Source organism: Homo sapiens, chromosome 5 (assembly GCF_000001405.40).
Source record: "Homo sapiens chromosome 5, GRCh38.p14 Primary Assembly".
Classification (NCBI taxonomy): domain Eukaryota; kingdom Metazoa; phylum Chordata; class Mammalia; order Primates; family Hominidae; genus Homo; species Homo sapiens.
In genome coordinates, this window is record NC_000005.10 from 96,326,587 (window position 1) to 96,347,125 (window position 20,539).

At 40.0% G+C, this 20,539-nt stretch overlaps 1 protein-coding gene and 3 long non-coding RNA genes across 15 annotated transcripts in view; 3 read left to right on the top strand and 1 right to left on the bottom strand.

The window, feature by feature from the left end:
• The window catches only part of CAST (calpastatin), an 813,255-nt gene that overhangs the window by 365,158 nt on the left and 427,558 nt on the right, over positions 1-20,539 (top strand). The gene's annotated exons all lie outside the window — the stretch shown is intronic.
• Positions 1-20,539, top strand: part of LOC101929710 (uncharacterized) — a 669,085-nt gene that overhangs the window by 364,586 nt on the left and 283,960 nt on the right. The window lies entirely within an intron of this gene.
• LOC107986365 (uncharacterized) lies at positions 431-17,763 on the top strand. Its single transcript, XR_001742457.1, has 2 exons — positions 431-2,243; positions 16,929-17,763. It is a non-coding gene; the product is annotated as an uncharacterized LOC107986365 (long non-coding RNA).
• LOC124901034 (uncharacterized) lies at positions 3,841-7,180 on the bottom strand. The gene is made up of 2 exons (XR_007058881.1): positions 6,907-7,180; positions 3,841-4,397 (listed from the first exon to the last, which is right to left on the bottom strand). It is a non-coding gene; the product is annotated as an uncharacterized LOC124901034 (long non-coding RNA).

Genomic DNA, 20,539 nt, shown 5'->3' on the forward strand with positions numbered 1-20,539 from the left:
GTACGTACCTCATTATTATACTTGTTAACGGTATTGCCATTGTTTGTTTGCAGGCCTGTATTTCCTTTAAAAATGTAAATTACTCAAAGGCAGGAACTATGGCTTTTCATTTTTTTTTTTTTTTTTTTTTTTTGTCTTCAGCATCTGTCGCATTATCTGGCACACAGCAGATTCTCAGTGAGTGTGTTAATTGAATGATTATGAATAGAGTTCATGATCACTTGAGATTTCACCAAGTTCTATTCTTCTATGATTTATGATGTTATACTTATTTTAGGTTTCAACACTGATTCAAATGTCAGGGGCCAATTTGTTACTTAACCAGTGTTTTTATCCGTCTGCTCAGAAGTGGTAGCTGTTCCTTCTCTGGAACGGTTGAAGGGGGATGGAGCAGAAGCAATCACCTTGTGCAGCAATGGAAATGGTAAAGTTTGCCATCTATAATGAGAGCATATCATGGGCAAGGGGATGGTTTTGGAGTGAAACTGATCTCAGTTTAATTTCAGTTCTGTTTCTTATTCCGTGTATGACTTTGGACAAGGTTATTTGACTTTCCTGAGTTTCACATTTGTCATCTGTAAAGTGGTAATAATAATAACACCTGAATCTCAAATTTGTTGTAAGGATTAGATCAGGTAGTGTGTGTAAAGGACTTACTACAGTTTTTCGCATATAGTGACTTCTCAATAAATGGTAATTGTTATCATTATCATGACTTTTATTGCAGTAGCCACACAAGAGAAAAAAGCATGATACTGCCTTCTGATCCCCAAGGGATTCCTCCTTCAAAGATAAAGTATACTACTGGGATCCTTATTCAATCTACAGAACACAGAAAATTATTTGAGGAACTATTTTCTCATTTCTCTCAAGAATGGTAGCTAACCAGTGCCATCCTTTTTACAGGAAAGATGTTAATTCATGATTTACAAATAGTATTTTAGGACGTTAATTCTCTCCCCTTGAAAACGGCAGAGTGACCCCCAACACTCAGTGGAATAATGGGCTGAAAATATAATTTTAGAATCAGTAATAAAGTTTTCAAGACACTTAGAGACATCTTGGGTTAGCACAAAATAAACGAGAAGGTTTTCTTCGCATGTGTCTTTTAACTGTGTTGTGCTTCTAAGGTAGAGAAGACAATTCTGTGACCAATGGATCAGAGATCAGAAGAGCGATTCAACAACTCACTCTAGGGATAACTTAGGGCAGTCCCTTATGCACCAGCAGCTTCTGTGTATTTATAATGAGGATAACACTCACTCTGTTGATCTCACTCAGCCTTGGGCATTTTAAATTACATCATATATTTGGAAGTGCCTTACAATTTGTAAAGTGCTGTACAAATCTTAGTGATTATGAAGATGATTATTCTGCTTTCCTGCCATCCGGCTTCCTCCACCAGATGCCCCTAATGAGCCCAGATCTCTACCAGCAACTCAACTGGTTCTGAAATGAGGACACATGTAGCTTTGGTTGAAATAATCAACTTTTGTTTATTCTTTTGCTGCTTTCATTCTTGTGAAGCTGGGCTTTCCTTGGCATTTTCATTGACGATTAAAGATCCCAGGTACTATTTCTTTCTAACTGCTCTTCTGAAAAATGTTAAAAACTCATGGCATCTGTCAGCTCCATCAGGCCACTTACTGGGTTCCCAAATCCCAGGGAATTGCCCAGAAGGCCTGGATGAGTGTTTTATTGCACTGGATGGAGTTATCTTCTGATTTGTTTTTGCAGGTCAGAAGCATTAACAATGAATTTAGCTTGCTTTTTTCTCTGTCTTTCCTTCTCTCTCCCTCTCTCTCTCTCTCTCTCTCTCTCTCTCTCTCTCTCTCTCTCTCTCTCCTTGTGACATGGCTATAGAACTGAATATCCATTTGCTACTAGGTTTCCTTTCTGGGCGTTTGTGTACACTTTTCAGAGGAGCAGAAATCAAGGCAGATTCGGTGCCAGTTATTTTAATGGAGAAAAAGATTGACAAACCATCAGTCTTTCTCACTCGCTCACTGCAAGAAAAGATGTGACATGACCTGCAATAGCATTTCAGACCATCTGACTTAAGACTTGAGTTAGTTAGGTTTTATCTCCTCCAAGAAAAATATTTGACCCTTCATTTCCAGCCAAGCTCTTCTATGCTCTAACTATCATGCCATTTCCTGCTTCTTGATCCTGGTTCTTCACTGGGTATAACTTACCTTCCCTTTCTCATTGTGGAAAAGCGAAGCAAAACAAGAAATCATCAGGTAAAGCTCTGCCTCCTCAGTTATTTCCAGACCCCTCCAGTTTCCATCTGAGATTCCCTTTCTCCTTAGCCCTATGGCATTTATTATTCATATGGTATATTTTGAAATTATGAAGAATGTCCTAACTGTGTTTTATTTAGTAACTTTTAAAATAATTTATGAATTCTTTTTCTCCAACCCATATGGCAAGAATCATATCTTAAATTTTCTTTCTTGGCATAAAGTTTTAGCTGGCCTTATTATTACAAGCTTATTATTATTACTATCTATCATCTTCTATTAGTAGCAGTAATGCTTGTGGATTCATTGATAACTGAGGGTCCAGTGGAGACCCTGGATCCTCTCTGAAACCACTTGGGTATGTGCAAGAGTGCAATTAGCCTCACTTTTGCACCAGGAAGAGAAATGTTAAGAAAACAGTGTGATAACGTGTGCTTTTAAATTGGTGAAAGTTGTGAATTTTAAAATGTCAGCATATTACTTCTCTTAATATTTTGACTCAACCACAAAGCTTTCTCTTATTAGGAATTTCAACTCATTATAAGAAACTGAAGCAAGCCCTTTCTGGCTCCCTCAGGAAAAAGCTGAACAAACAGATGGGCCTTGCTAGGAATGTCAATCAACAGGAGCCCTGCTCCTGCCCACAGATGCTGTAAATTTTACAGGGATCCCCCCTAGAACATAGGCCCCACTGCCCAGTTTCCCTGGGGAGCTGCAGCTAGAAATAACAAAGCCAGAGTCTTATTTTACTGCATTATTGCTTTCTTTAGAAGGCCTCATGTCCAGTAGCACTAACATGAGAAGTCAGGCTACTCTTTATGCTCCTGACATTTTCTGCTCCTAACAAAGCTGTAATCGTTACTGTCAAGATTTAACAATTTCAGAAATGGTGCTGATGACCCAGATGCCTTTCTTTGTTAACAAATAATTCCTGTGGCATTAGCTATTCTCCATGTATTGAAGGATTTCTCCCTCACTATCAGATTAATCTCAAGAAACTCTGCAAATATTCCTATATTCAGCAGTCTGTGCTTTGTGCAAATTAGGCTCTGAGCAGAGATTTGTTAAATTGAATTCTGTAAGAAGCATAACTCTATTTTCTGGGTTGGTTTAAAAGATATCTTGGAAGTTAAACATTTCTGTCTTTTTAGGACATTATTTTAATCATTAAGAATGGGCCAACTTGATTTCACAGTGAATTACCCATCTCTTGTCTTTTTCTCCAGAGTTAGTCATTTCTGCCAAAGAACAATGAGTCAGGAACACCTTGTCATTACCCAAATGGTTAGGATGTCCTGCTTTGGAGATATTGCATAGTTGAACCATATGAAATTGCTGATATTTGACCATTTTTTAAAAAGATGGTTTTTTAAAAAACCATTTAAAAAGACCATTTACAAAGATGGCAGTTTTATATGGTTCCACCTAAGACATATTTTCTCCCTTGTTTGGTAAGAGTTAGCCAGACTCCAAGATGTGGACAGAAGAGAGGTGCTTCCCCTTGGCTTCCCCCACCATCTCTGTGTCAGTGAGGAAGGGAGAAGGTTCAGTGCCCACTCACCTCTCACTTAGCTTAGTAAGAACAGAGGAAACATGGTGATGTCTCAAGGGGCTTCATTTTATGGACAAATGTATCAGTTGGGGATTTTTTAATGGTCACACCTTTTCAATAGCTCGTCGTTTTATTATTACTTCTTCTCACCCCTTTTTCCCCAGTTCCTATGCAGTTTATCAGCCTCTATACATTTAGATGGCAACGAAAATCATGCTTTTAAGAAGCTTCTAACAATCAGCATATGACTTCAGTCGCTCTAAAGCTTCCCTTGACAGTGTCACGAGGAATTTTCCCTTTAGTCAAAGCTAATGAAAATAAGATGTTGTGGGAGCTGGGCAAATCTAGTTTGTGAACATCCAAGAATTCTTTCATGATTTCATAACAGCAAAGGTATTATGTCTTGTGTTCTGAACCCAGGGTTCCCTTCTTTTGAGAAGGTAGCCCATTATGTATGAGTGTGTGGACCCTGGAGTGACTTCGGGAGAGGGTGAAGAGTCATGGGTGCTCAGCATCAGGAGAGGAATAAGGAAAGCAGTAACTTCTGTGCTCATCTCTGTCACTTGGATCCATGCCACTGCATATCTGCTGGGATTTTCTGCCTGTGACAATAATAAAATACTAGATCAGGAAGTGACCTTAAAAATAATCTAGGACAACAGTTGATGACACTTGCAAATCAGATAAAAATTATGGATTCCATTTCCAGGAAAGATTTTTATGTTCAGTTTTAGAAGGTTTATGTAGCTGAGGGTGTGGACTACAGGTTAAGAAACCTTGACTCAGGAGTCCTATCACCTTATTTTACACATGAGAAAACTGAGGACCAGGGGAAGAGACTAAAACCCAGTTTAATGATTCCACATCTAGTTCTCCTTTATCTTTCCTTAAATGTCAGATTACCTCCGTTACTCTTGTTCCCTTTCTTACACACAGAACTCCATGAAACCAAACCGAAGGAGGAGGTAGGAGAAGATGACAAAGGGGAAGTATGTGGCATCCCCCACTTCTAAGTTATGCAACCGGGAAACACAGGCAGAGCCTGTACCAACAGCAGTAATGAACTCAATCAACTTGTTGAAAAACATTTCAGTTATTTTAAACAAAAATACTACATCATTCATGTTTTCAGTTATTTTAGGCAAAACACCAAATCATTCCTGTTTTTCAGTTCAATCAATCAGCTCATGCTGTATTGCAGTTTATTCTCCTTGTTTTTATATACTCACCAGCATATAAAAACATGCTTTTTAAATATGTTTTTATTTATTTTCTGCAAGTAACTAGCTGAATCAAAGGTCAGAGTTTAAGGAGATTATTTTGTTGACAACATTACATATTTACTGAATCTCATCTTTATCCTGGCACTATCCCTGCCTGGTGGGTTTATAGACAGAAATGTCACAGATTTGGAAGGCTTTTCAATGCAGAGATTACTATGGATTAAATCCTTGTCTAACTGGTTTTGCTTTTTCAGCCTTAGATGATAGTGATATGGAGAGGAAAGATGGGGATATAATCATTCATGGGCCAAAGTTTGTTTCTTATCACACAGTCAACATGTCATTGGCAGAAGGTGGAACAGTCACTCCTGACACTTTTCTGCTTCTTCTATAAGAGAACTTTGTTAGGAGCCAGAAGCCCCTCATGGCTCACCTAATCACTGGCTCTGTAAGTGATCTGGGATAAAGGAGGCCTCAGAGTCCCCCAGTTGTAAAAGAGGAAAATCAAATATGCCCATCTGGAAAGTTTATACAAGAGATCAATAAAAGCCTTCTTCTCCCAAAACAAACAAAACAAAACAAACCTCAGGGGTAGCCACGGAGGGTAGGAGAATTCACACCATTTATTATAAGACCATGTTTCAGCCTTGTATTTTTCCTTCAGGCTCATGGTGAGACACAGCTCATTCTGCAGCCAATGTTGCCCCTTGTTTGGGAGTACCTTGAGCAGCGTTTCCCAGACTTATGGCTGTTGTGTATCACCTTCATTAATTTTGCTGGAATACTTTTCTTTCTTTAAATTGATTTCGGCTTTTTTTTTTTACTTTAGTAAATTTTTAAATGATAAATAAAATTAATATTGCTTATCCTAAGTAGTGGGTGATGATAAAAATATATTAAAATAAAAATGGTTGTGTACGTCTAAAATCATGTTGCATGCAGAATATTGTGCCTTCCTTTGAGATACCTGTTCTTACAAGTCCCAGAAACTGAGATGTGAGTCCAAACTTGAGGACAGAGCGACGACATGGACGTCTACAAATGTGACATGATGGGGTAGTTTTATCTCTAGGTGCAAGTCAGGGGGAGGATAATGAAGAAAACTGTCCGGCTAACACTTCAAACTGCTGACACTGCATAGGTTCCTTAGCAGCTCCACAAGGACCTGCCGAGCTGTCCCACGCCTTCACATACACCCCATTGAGGCTTGAGTTTGCTGTAAAGGTATCCTAACAGCCTTTTCTGGCTCTGCCCAGCCCTGTTTTTCCCTCCTCCACACAAATTGGTCTCCTGGCTTGGGTTCCATCTGTACCTTTGACTCCAGCCAGGTGGTTTCCTTTTGGCCACTATCGCTCAGCGTGCTGATTGCTGCCTTGGTCCTTGTTGTTTGTCCTTTCTCTCTTTAAGGACCTGGGGCTTGAGCTGCCAATTTTATAAGGGAAGAAGTTCTTGTCTTTTTATAGCGTCTCTCCTTGCCATTCCCTGATTCCATTAATATCCCATCAACGAAGTGCAAATTGTTGCCTTTCCCCTCCCACTTCTCGGTGTGAAGCGGTGACCCAGTTAACAGGGGCAGGGGCTTGGGGCTCCTCTGGCTCTGTCTGCACTTCCAGGACTCAGTGTGTGCCCGAGTTAGAGTGACCTGTACAGTGTGTTCCTGGTGGGACTTTAATACAGGGAGGCTTTTGCTGTTTTCTGCACGGTCAGATGAGGAGCTCTATGTTTGGAAAAGAGGCTTGGAAAAAGAAAAACCAGAATGAGCAGCCTTTTCCTGTTGACTTAGACGCCCTAGGTGGCCGGGCAAGTCTCTGACCTGCTGGGAGGCCTCAGTTTCCTCCTGTGTGAGTGAAGTGAATGGAAAGGAATGGGGCCCCATGAGCCTTCTCACCTTTTTTTTCTTGCTTGGTCTTCCCGACTGAAACCAGCATCCTCCCTGTTCTGATCTGGGCAGCCTCCTGGAGTCAGGTGGGGCCAGGGACCAGGTCCAAAGCTGAAGCTCCTTCTTCCTGCTGTTGGAGGTCAGCTGTGGGTAGGGAACTGGACTGCTCAAGCTTCTGTGGTGAGACCTGGAGTTGGGGAGGCCTCTGTGCGGAGCAATACTGGTGGGCGAGGGGTGTACTCAGCACAGTGATTGCTCAGGGAGGCTCTGGAAAGGGTGTCTGTTCCAACTGAAGGCAAAATGAGAGAGAACAGGCTGAAGCTCTGCTAAGCTGTGTGGCGTTACATGCAACCCTTAGCCTCTCTGAGCTTCATTTATTCTGATTTTAAAAATACATGCAAAAGGAGTACAGTGCAGCTTCAACTGGAGCAAGCAGCAGGTCCCTTCCAACATCAACATTCTTTGAGTTCGTAAGTCCAAGACTCTATATTTTAAAAATATTTTTATGGGTCTCAGACCCTCACTTCAACACCCATTTCATATGCTCCTCACTATTAGCAAACTTGCTACCTACTTTGTTCAGAAAATTGAGTTGTATTAGGGCTGAAGTTTCTTTATAATACTCAGGTGCAAGAAATGTCATATAGCACAGTTTTGTTGTTGTTCATTGTTAATTCAAGTTTGAAATTCTCCCTCCAGAGTGTGGCAAGGGTCAGTAGCAGTCATTATTGGAGGTTCTGCTCTCCAGAGGCAGTCAGGCATCCTTGGAGGATTGCTCAGTGCAGAAAATTCTAGGAGAGACCTCTTTTCTCTAGCCTATCACAGTCACTGCTTAGTTGTTTATTGGCTGGGCCAGAAAGGTCCATTTAAAGGCTGGAGGTTCTATTCCTAAGCCCACCCACCCACCTCCACCCCTAGTGCAACTTGGGTGAGGTGGCCTGGTTCTCACTACTGGGAAACTCAGGACCCTGCACATCTATAAGCCACACCATCGGAGGTTCTGCCATCTTCAGGGAACTGTATTGGAAGGGCCTGGTTTTCAGCCTGCTGCACAACTTTCTGCCACTGGCCCCTTTCTCTGTTCCAGAAAAGTCACCCCCACGGTCCTGTCACTCACTTCCTTCAACTACAATGCCACTTCCTCAGGTATGAATATAGCCACACAGTAGGCATAGTAGTGACTATTTGCAGAATCCCAATTAAATAACCACTTCAAACAAAAGCCTAGGATGGAGCTGCTACCTCAGTGTCCCAGAAACTCGTTTTTCACCTAGAAGCACAAAAGTGATCCTTACCCTTGGAGGCAAGATCAGGAGCGCACAATACAAGGGCTGACTTGTTCATCCACTGGAGACTCTGCTACAGTATAAATGCAATATCAAAAATGATATCTAAATTCATTATCCTGCTATAGAGGCAAATGAGCATGAGCGCCTTCCATTTCTTGCCTCACCCATGCCTAGGAACAGAGCTCCACTCACACCCTGCATTATCGTCCTCCAATTTCAGAAGATGCATTGTCTCCTTTTGTTCAAGGCCGACCCCAGTTACACATGCCAAGACCAGGTTCCACAGCCATCCTCCCTCTTGAAACATCCACCTTTCCTCTTGCAGGGGTATGTCCTCTTCAGACTACAAGCTTACTCATCTCCTTCCCATTCATTAAAAAAGAAGTCTACCTTTGACCCCCATGTCCTCTTAGTGATGTCCTATCTCTTCTTCTATTTCATCCAAACATCTTTAAAGAGTTACCTATACTCAGTGTGACCACTTCATGTGCCATTCACTCTGCATCCCCTGCAATCTGGCTTCTGCTTTTGGTAAGGCCACCCATATTGTAGCTGGAAAATTCAGTGGACATTTTCCAATCTTTGTCTCACTGTATGTTTCTGGGGCATTTGGCCATGTTGCTTGTGTGCACCACTCACTCTCTATGATAGTCATATTATATTCTCTCAGCTTGCCTCATTTGTTTCTGTTCTTTCCCAACCATGGTCTCCTCTCCCTCCATCTACCACCCACATGCTGGGGTTACCTACCTTTCTGTTTTAGCCTACCGCTCTTCTCATTACTGATACTCTTCTTGGGTGGATTTTTCTACACTCAGGATTTCAGCTACCATCTGTATAGTAATGACTGTCTAGTTCAATCTCCATCTCCAATTTCTCCCCCAAGCTTTAGGCTCACCAATTCCATCACCTGCTAGGCAGCTTTTCTTGGGCACTCTTCAGACATTTCGGATTCAATTGCTCAAAAGCTACATGTATCACTTCCCTCCAACCTAAACCTCTATTTGTTCTGTTACCTTCTCTTTACCCAGTGACAAAAGTTATAAAATGTCTGCCTTGACTTTTTTCTTCTCCTCACTCCCTTTATCCAACTGATCATTACATCCTGATGTTTTCCCCTCCTATGCATTTCTCAAACCCATCCTCTCAACTCCACTCCTACCACCACTACCCTATCTCAAATGCACCTTCTTTTAACTGGACCAATATAACAGTCTCTCAATTGGCTTCCTGGTTTCTAGACCTGGCCCACTCCATTCTCTCTCCAGAGCTACCTGAATGATTCATATACAAAACAGTAATCTGACCCAGTCCTTCTCTTGCTAAAGTCATTCTGAATCTACACAAGGAAATTCAACCTCCTTTCCTGGGGCTGTCCCTTGTCTATCTCTTAAACCTTAGCTCCTACCACCCGCTGCCCCCTATTTTGACTCCAACTCTCAACCGGCAGTAGTTCTCTGCAAGTCTTCTGTTCTCTTTCTGTTCTTTACTTGCACATTTACCAATAAATATGTTTTACTCCAGTGTATTAGGTTAGTATTATAAGGGAAGTTTCAAGTTCATTTCATATTAAACATTAGAGCCTTCATGCTTAGGGAGAGAGGGAAAAAGAGAAAAAACCCATAGCTAAATACATAGTTAAGTCGCGTTCTTCTCCAACGCAGCCAAAAATTGGACTGGGCCTGAGATATTTGTGTGCCCTGTTTGATTGAAAGCTGTTAGAAAGTATGCCAAACATTTTAGATTTTTCGCTCCCAGAGTTCTTGTAAACCCGGCAGAACTTGTCTGTTATGAAGAGTGGACTGCCCTCTAGAGGTTCCCATTGGAAGGAGCACATCAAACCCACAGTGTTAAGGCATTCTGCAGTTTCTTGTGAGGTTTTGCTGTAGACATTTACTATTACTGTTCTTTGTCCCCAAAATGCTTTTCCAGATGTCTAATTCTGAGTCACACATTTTTAATTTACTTTGGGAATAGAGATTTGGGGTAAAGCATGTGATGGACCTCAAAACACTCAATTTGGAGTCAGGAGATGTGACTTTTAGTCCCGGTTCTTCCTTTAATATCTGAGGACTTAGATTTCATGTCTGTTAATCAAGTAGTAGAAGATCACACTTCAAAACTGTGAATCACCAGAAAGTATGTTTTAGGAGTAAAACTGGGAAGAGTTTCATTAATTCAGTAAATATTTAATATGGAAGACCCTGGGGTAAGAGCTGTTTTGCAGAAGCTAGGAGTTTACGTTTGATCTTTACAATGTTAGATGAAACATATTTGAAAAAAAGACACTTGGAAAACATTTGGGCTTGCAATTTAAATGGATGAATTTAACCCTGATATCATAGAACCCTGAAAGCGAAACTGAGCTAAAACAAAGTAAAACTTACTCTGATTCCAAGGGTCTCTTCTGACATGAGAGTGGAAATGAATCACACAACCACACACACACACCCATAGACACCCTAATATGCCATTAAGCTCTGACCCAAACCCCTTTTAGCCTGGTTTCCCCTTTTCTATTTTCAATCAAGAGAGAAAAAAAAGGAAGTCTTTCATTTAATGGTAAGAACCAACTATGGTCTCTGTATGCTCATATAATACTAAAGAATTATAGGTAAAATTATATTTTATGTACTTTATTATGGTACTATGTCAATTGACATTGAACTTCATAGTACACTGAAGAAAGGGAAAAAATATTAGGACACCATTTATGTCCGTAGTAACACTGGAAGTAAGATGCCGCAAAGCTCAGGACACAGTAGCTAGGAAACAAGACGTCTGAATTCCTGTGATTCCACACATGTTTGGAGGGATCTGGGGACACCAGCTGGATCTTCTGTAATGCAGGTAGCCACATCTGTGCACCATGGTTATGATGCTCACTTCTGTGGAGTTCAATGTTAATGTCCTCTTTGGCATCTACCTCCTCCAAGTTCAAAGCTGGACTGCTGTGCTGGGAATCCAGCAACCTGAACCTTTTTCTTCATTACAAATCTGGACATCTTTGGACTTGATTTCTGACATCAAATCAATGGTTTTACTTCTCTCTTCATTAGTTTACTGTCTGTCTTTACAAAGTCCTCTGGGCATTAGCAAAGACATGAACCTAACAGAATACCTCTAACATTTTGAACACATATAAAACATTAGTACTTGAAATTTTTCCTTATGTTTCTATAGCTAAGGAAAACTTTTAATTTTTTTTTTCTGTCTTAGCCTACTCTATCCAGCATTCCTTGCTGGAGGCACAGCTAGGATGAAAGCTTTGGAATGAGAAATGAAAGGAGTAAATAGACTTGACTTTACTAACAGTGTCCATGTTTTTATTCCTGAAAGTTATGACACAACAATTGTTAGACCATAATCATTAAGAAGTTCTGTCATCATCTTCTGTTAGGTTGAAACGTTCAACAAACAAAACAACAAACCTATTTTTATTCTGCTTTCATATTTCAAATGCATTTATGCACTTCAAATTTCAGTTTCAAATATTCTTGAGAGTTTCAAAAACTCTGCATCGTTTTTTGACTTATGACTTAATGCTATATGCTGCCTTATGCTGTTTTACTTCTGCTTTCTTCATACTTTGCTTCATTTATTATCCTATTCTTTCCTTCCTTCTTCCTTTGTAATCCTTGTTTATGGTATTATTAGAACTTGTAAATTTCTGTAGGTAGTGGTTACAATATAGGTAACTCACAAGGCCTAAACAGGTATATTTAGATAATAGAAAGTATTGAACTCTGAGTCTGGAGTGGGAAAAGTTGATCACATCACTTCTCCCCCCAAACAACTTTGCTCTGAGATTTAGTCTAAAGAGATTCACTTTTCAATAAGTAGAAATGTGATTTGGTGGATAGCTTGCTGCTCATTCCAAAGTATATTATATTTCTCTTTCTGGAAGCGAACCCCTGGGAAGAGGGTGCTTGGTGAGCTCTGGATGCCGTGCCCAGAGGCCAGGGGTTTTTGGAAATGCCGCAGAACATCCTGTTCCTGGGAGCCCTTCTGCCTGGTTGTTTGTGCTCTAGAGACTTGGCTCCTGGTGTTCTTGCTCAGACCTTTGGACTTTGGCAAGGCTACTTCTCATGTTTCTGTCTTCCTCTGTGTGCCATTCTGGCTCTGTAGATGGTTTGGTTTTTTGTGTTGTGACAGTGGAGGCTGCTTGGAGTGCACTGCCAGGCATTGGCTCATGGGCACTCTGCTCCATTTCAGTAACAGCAACAGAACTTGGATTTGACTGGGAAATAATAACCATTACTGGAAGAAAAAAGTAGCAAAACATATTTCCTAATATGTGCTAACATAATGAGGGGCCAGGTCTCCAGCTTTACGGGTGATTATTATAGTTTTTGATTGTTGCCAGTTACCAACACTAAGTACTTTAGCTGTGCAACTTGATTTGAACAGCATTGCCAGAAGAGCACCATCAAAGGCTTTTGATAACATGCTACCAAGAAAATATGTGACACCAAGATAACATACGACCCCAAGAAACTTATTTAATCTTCTTGGTGCATCTATAAAAATAGAACCAAGTAGAAAAACAGTATAAAAAGCAAAACGTTTCTCACTGGGGTTTTGTGAAGGATACCAACTAGCCCTCATGAAGTATTGTGAGTTTCCTGGAAGGAAGGCCTTTTGTAAGTTCAAGTTATTGCCATTCACTAATTATTGGTCATAACATTGCACATGATAGATGGGAAATGGAAGAGTGGGAGAATTAAGTGATTAAGCTAAAATCACACAGTGAGCTGGGGGAAAACCCAAAAGTGCAAAGAGATCTAAATTTGTTTCATTGGAAGAACACAGTTATATCTGGACAAAGCCCCAGAGTTTAAGTGACAAGGACACCTAACATAAAACTTGAAGTCATAGGCATGTAGCCAAATAATACAAATATCCTTGTTAAATGCAAGTGTATCCATACCAGTTATGGATACACTTGTCCTTGGAGGAGAGCTAAGGTGAGTCCTGCTGAGGACAGGAACTCTTCTGTGTTTGATTTGCAGGTAGAGCGAGTAGTTGACCCTCTGAGCCCAAAGCTGCAGAGAACACAGTAAACCTAGTAAACTGAGTGTGGCTATCTCCCCAGGGTGGCCCTCTGAGAATCCCTCCTAGGTTCCTGAGAGAGACAGGTAGACAGGCTATAGGTGGAAAGAGACAAAGTGCCTTGAGCTCTGTGGGTTAGGATCCTATCTTCAACCCCTAGACACTTAAAAGTCTTGCCTGAACTCATGGCCTTTCAATGAGGAAAGCATCACAGAAAGACTTTATGGTAATCGGACAGGAAACAATGACTGGGCAAAATTTTTTAAGCAGTCAGTATTAAGAGAAAGAAGGAAAGCCATGTCTTTGCTATTTACCTCAAGGTTATATTTTGCAGCATCTAATGCCAACTATTAAACAAGGATACACTCTTATCTAATTTGCGCTGTTGTCTTCCCAGGATCTGGAACATTTTCTGCGGGAGTCCACCTTTATCTCTAGAAGCCTCTGGCAAACTGTTTCATTTCAGCTCAGGTCCTTTTGTAGAAAGAACTTGATGCTGAAAGCAGCTCGCCCCTTCTGCCCTCAACCCCCACTCTCCCCCTACCCTCCCCACCATGGTTAACTTGTTTTTCATCTTTGTTCTGAGTTGCTTTGGCTGATTCAATTTTTATTTCCGTTTTTAATGAGTTAGTAATTCAGTGATCTTGGCTTTGAATCTTTGGAACTGTGGGTTTTTAGTAAGGATTGAATCAGCTTGTTGGCTCCTAATAGACTCTGAAATCCAGTAATATTCGTGATGTGTTTGTTCACTCCGTTGACTGCCAGGTCCCGGTAGGAGCAATGGCCAACAGAGAAGAATCGAGGTAAATCCTCCTTTGTTGCCTAAGAGCTGTTGTTGTTTACCCCAGTTTATAACCTCTTCACACTGAAGCATCACCCTTCAAAGGAGGATGTTGCTTCCCACTTTGATTATCATTTACTTGACTTTACAAGAAACTTTCACATCTTCCAAAACAGTAAGCTGTAAGATTTGCTCCAAGCTCTACGCAGTATATACTATGACTATTTTCCATTTAGAAATTAACTTACATTACAGCTGTAAGTCTATATACTGAACTTATGATGCTCGTTACTAAATGAATGATAATGGACATGAAATAGTCTGTAATTCATAGTCAAAATCTACCATTGCTATGTTTGTCTAAGGAAGCTTCAGTGAGTATACTTCAGATGCATATGAAGTTAGAAAAACAGTTAACAGAAATAGTTCAGTAGAGAAATCCTGATCCTAGGACTAATAAAACTAGATTTTCTTAAATCCAAATGCCTGTGAGATTCTATGCAGAAGGATAATTTGTATCCAGCATGTAAATAATCATGATTCTCAGAAGGAATTATTTGCACTTTAATTGCTCTTAGTAATGGAGAGTTGTGTCTTCTTATTTGTCCCCTTGTCATTAGAAAGTATCACTTACCATACATTTAATTCAAGTTTTCATCTTAAAAAATGTTACTCTAGAAATCTTGATCACAATCTCCTTTCATTCCTGCCCACTCCCATCCCCCCACCCTCCACCCCACCCCTCCACCCTGCTTGGTTTTGGTTTGTTGTTTTGTTTTTTACAAATCAGTGTATAACTCACTAAGGCTCAAGATACTATGTTTGAAACCTGAAAGCCAGCCTGAAGGTCAAATTCGAAATAACAATTTTCTTTTTGAATTTGAAGTCTCATTAGTGTAAGTGCCAGGATAACAACCCACAGTCTTCTTAATATAGTGGTTCCCATTTACATACTGTATCCTTAAACCACCTCTATTATCCCTTTCTGGGTGTTTTTCTTTCAAATGGTGCTTGTTTTACTTAAATAAACTTTCTTTAGATTAAACTTTCAGATAATGACTTCAAGTGGAAAACCAGTATCCTCTGTCATAATAAATGATATCCAGGAAGAGAAGTAATGGTAAAAACAATAAAATATTATTGAATTCTAGCTAGGAACATGAACCTACCACGGCACTGAGCCTAAATCTTTTTCTCCTTATGTTAAGTGTTAAAGATATGTTGAATACACTAAATGGAGACTTTCTCTAGACAGTATGATGAGTACAGGGAAGTTGAAAAGAACTTTCTCACAATATGATTTCGTGGATTTAATAGCTTCTCCCAACCAAAAATTACCTTTACCTTAGAAAAAAATTCCTTGATAAAATCAACTCAAATCCCCTAAGTTTAACAAGTGATGGTGGTAATGTACAGTCCTCAATGTGAGACCAAACTGAATCCAAGGCTGTATTCCCCAAGATTCTTCTTCCTCACTAATTCTCACTAATATAGAGTGGCTGCCGCCACCACCACCATGATGCCCTCCAGGTGTGCCCTCCTGGACATTCTGGCTCAAGCAAACACAGGCCTCCTTCCTTAATTCCTCTGAGGACACATGGGAAGAGCCTGGAAGTTTAAATATGACTTCATAGACAAATAGGATAATAAAAAGGAAATAAACAGAAAAACTTAACTCATCTGCTTTTTCATTGTTGGTTGGGGGTGTTTTTGAGGCAGTGGTTCCCCAACTTTTAGCACATATGGAAACCAGCTGGGGATTGTTAAAACAGAGTGCTGGGCCCACCCCCATATTTTCCAATGCAGCGGGGCTGGATTGGGGCCTGAGAATTTACATTTTGAACAAGTGCTCAGGTGAGGCTGGGGCTGCTGATCTGGAAGCCACTCTTGGAGAACCACTGTCCTTAGAAGACGCATTGCTGCCTGGCTTCTGCCTACCTGCCTTTAAGCCAGGTCCATATTTCAGGTCTATTTGGAGACTTGTCAAAGGACAGACCCTAATTATAAAATGGAAAGGCAGCTAGTCCCATACATAAGATTGAATTGAATTCTCTTTTTCTTGCAAGCTAGCATAGATTGGTTCTTCCCTCATAGCTAGCCGTATGACTCCTTCTCATTGAGATCACCCAGCCATATCTCCTCAATTCTTTATTTCCCACATTTGCACATCTCTGAAAATGGGATGTGTTTCACAATCATGCCACAAACGCCCTGAGCCTACGGGAATCCTGTTGTACTTGTTCATAGTATCATTGCTTCACTGAGTTATGTGCATTTTTGGTACCGCATAAGTTGATTCCATTGCCATTTAAAATGTCTTTAAAATTATGATACTGTAATTGAGCATTGAGACAAAAAGTTATTGTGTATGAAGAAAGGTGTGGGAATAGGGCAATGAAGCTTACATTTGGTATTGAAGGAAATATTTTGTTTCTAGAAGAATGATCACAATTTCATATTTTTAAAAAGAGCTATTAACAGTTTTATTTTAAAATAGCAACATGTACAATGCACTCATACATAGTTTGCAATTGTTAAAATGATGATGAAAATCTTTAACCTCACTAAAAAAAAACACATTTACAGATTTTAAAAATTCTTTTAGGGGGTACACAAGATAAAAATTTAAAGACCTCAGCTGTAGATTGCAATTTTCCAAATGGATCTCACAATACTGGCACCTAGCCAAAATAAATTCTTTAACCAAAGATAGGAAAATGAGAAAGTAGGACAACTTATTGATTTTTTAATAAAATGATGTTAAATGTTTTCAGTTTAAAGTTCTGTTCTATTTTCTGAAATTAAGGTGCTTGCTACCTTTTTAGGGGGTTGAGAGGAGTTTAGTTTGAAAATAATGATGTTAATATTAACATGCTTTTCTTTTTTCATTTCTACATTGCCTTTGAAAGCAACAGCTATGTGCTTTACAGGGCTTGCCTAAGGAGGCTACCTGTAAGGAGAAGAAGCTGAGTTTCATTTTGCTACTGAGAAACACACAAAGGATTGCCTTTAACTTCCTAAGCATTGCAACTGAAAGCAGAAGAAATTGCCAGATCCCTGCTGATTTATGAAATGCATTTCAAAGCCACAGAACTACCATTTTAGGCATTGCAGCACAATTTAATTGGCATTATTTTTCTTACTGGTCCAGAAAATAATGGTGTGATTTACAAATGTTGATGTCTTCAATTTGATCAAACACTGTATTTAAAATTGTATACCTCTTCCTGCTGATCTACTTTATCCTGCTCTACTGCACTATATGATTCACTAATTAACTCTAAATTTACCATCAGTCTCCTTCAGCTGGAAGATGAGCTCCTTGAAGGCAAGCATCTTTGTTTATTCATCGTAGGGTCTAGATAAACCAATGTTTAATACATAATTGTTGAATGAATTAATGACTGAAGGAATTGGATCGTAACCCCTACTTGAATGTAATTTTACACTTACCCTTGTGACCTTGATAGAACTAATAGTCCTGCCTTTGTCAGGCTGGCAGCTTTATGTCAAATCTACATTTTGGGTGTGTAGGAAGACTGGCCAAGGGACAATATCAAAGGCTAGTACCGCAAGCCCTAAAGCAATAGTGAAGAGTGACATAGTTTCTAGTGATGAGTCTGTATGTATAGGAGGGAAGTGGGCATTGGGATGAGGAAGGAATCAAGGATTATTCTCTTATAGCCATGGATATATTCAAATGTGTGGAATGAATGGATGAGTAAATGCAACATTTGACAATTTCTCCAAATATGGTTTTTTTTCTCATGTACTAATGGTTATATTTTTTAAGTGGTAATCTCATTACCTCTCCAAGACCAAGCAAGACATCAATCAAATTGTGTGAGAAGCAAATTCACACATTAACTTAACCATGAAAGCAAGCAGTGGCTCATGTGCCATGAAAAGAATTCAGATTCAAAGGAATGCGAATCAGGTAGCAGGCTGAGTAAATATTCTCACAATCAGACTATTCTCACAATCAGACCTTGACCTAGTGAGAAATTAAACATACTCTACTTTTCCTTTAGTCTTCATTTATTTTTGCTTAAGTTTGTGGGGGATATGCTGGCTTAATTTGCATCTGATGATTGTATTTCTTCTTGGGAGAAATGGAACAAGTGACTAATACCTACCAGGTGGATGGCAGGTAGGCAGAGGTGAATGGAAGCAGAGCCAACACATTTTCTGTGCCAAGTACAATTCCCCAGGCTGAATTATATTTCAAATTTGTTTGCATTGGTTCTTTCATTATTGCTTACACAAATAGAGCTGAAAAACCACATGGTTAAGTACAGAATACCGTGATATAATGACTTGTAGACACAAGGGGTCAGCATTTGAACACAGATGATTTGGTCGAAGTCTTGCCTTGTTCCCTTCTGCTGCTCTACTCTGGCTTGATGTGCTTATGTGTATGAGGGTAGATATGGAAATGAAATTCAATTTGTATTTTGCACATCGCTTTCTTTTCCAGTTTAGAATTTTGAGATCTCCCTTTTATATTTAATCAGTCTGTTATTGTCATGGGAGATGATATCTAACAAGGAGTCTTACCAGTCTCACTGGCCCCAATGGTTTCAGCAAACTTCAGTGACCTCCAGATATACGCTAATTTTTCTCTTCCCAAAAGAGCTTCTTAACCTAATCTACTCTTTTTTGAAGAGTCTTAACCTAACCTACTCTTTTTTGAAGAGTCCCTAATCTATGCTTGCTTAATACATGTGTTGGATGATACACTATTTTACTGATACAAATCTACCAGAAACAGGAGATTTGTGGTTGGAGAGATTGTATCTTGATTCTGAGCTTATTCTGAGCTTTCGACTTAGCATTGGGCTCCATTATAATTGCTCTGTCTTTGATCTGTCCTTTCACTTTCTACGTCTAACTCAGTGCAAATGCATGCTACAGTATCTCTTAAGAAACACTATATTATTCCCATAATTAAAAATTATTACAGTAAAATTCACTTTTTTGGGTGTACAGTTCCTTAGCTGGGTATCACTGGCTCAGGGTCTCATGAAGCTGTAATTGAGATGTCAGCCAGAGCTGCTCTCCCATCTGAAGGCTTAACTGAGGGAGAATCCACATTTGCTCATGTGGCTATGGGTGGGATTCAGTTCCTCAGGGACTGTTGGACTAGGGACTTCAGTTCCCTGCTGGCTGTTGCTGGAGGCTTCCCTCAGTTCCTTGTCATATCTCCATAGGGCAGAGTGACCCAGATGACACAGCTTGTTTCCACACAGGTGAGAAAGTGAGAGACTGAGAGAAAGATGAAAGTCAGGGTGTTTTTGTAACCCATGTAAAAGTGACATCCCATCATGTTTACTGTATTCTATTTATTGGAAGCAAAAGTAGGGAGGATTACACAACAGTGTGAACATCAGAAGGCAGGGATCACTGGGGACCATTTTAGAGGTTGCCACCATAAAGGCTGTCACAATGATCCAATTGAGAAATGATGGAGTTTGCATTTGGGTGGTGCCAGTAGGCTAACATCCTCCGATTGCAAAATATGAGTGACATTTAGAAGAATAAAATTGCTAAAACATGATGGTTGATTGGCTATGGTAGATAAAGGAATAAAAAATTTTGAAGAAGACTCCAGATTTCGGGCTTGAGCTCCTGAGTAGATGGCAGTACTATTCACTTATAATGATATTCTGCAGGAAGGCAGAGATCGTGACTGCTGTTTCGGACATATTAGCTTGCAAGTACCTGTGAGGCATCTAATTTGAATATCAGGCAGGTGGTTAGATATTCAGATTTTGAGCTTATAAGAAAGTTGTGGATCAGATAATGGATTTGGCTTTTGTCACTGTAGAGATTGTAATTGAAGCCTGTCTTAGGTCCAGTTTCTAGGAGCACAAATTTCCCAAATAACAAGTGAGTCAGTAGGAATGAAGTGAACAGACTCTTTCTAGTTCTACCCCTTGACTCCTGGATTCGTATATTCTACCACTGGATACACAGTACCACATAATGACCATTGGTAGAAGGTATATACTACATCCTAAAGCAACACCCAAACCTCATAATGTATCGTCTGTAAGCTGGCACCTCAGTTGTGACTTTAAGAAACTGTTCCAATCTCTATCAAAATAGCAATATCTGGGCTATACAGTATGTGGGAATTGGTGGGTTCCATACTCACGCACCTGTTCTGTGACCCCCATCTGTCATAAGTTGGCTTCCTGGTCTGATGCAATATTATTCAGGATTCCATGTCAGTAAATCAAGTACTCTGTGAGTCTTTGAATAGTAGGTGTGAATTGAGGCACTGCGGGCAGAAAGGCAAACCTATACCCAGAAAATATGCTATTCCTGGATAAGACAAATCACTTCTCTTTTCAAGGTAGAAAAGGAATTATTTGCAACTAAATGGTGTCTTCTTGAGAGATAGCATACTGGGCATCTTTCAGACGGGTTTCAGCAGTGGCAGTAACTAGATCAGCATTGGTGGGAGGGAGACCCTTCCACTGGGCTCACGCAGAGCCTCCATTTGAATATCCGTGAC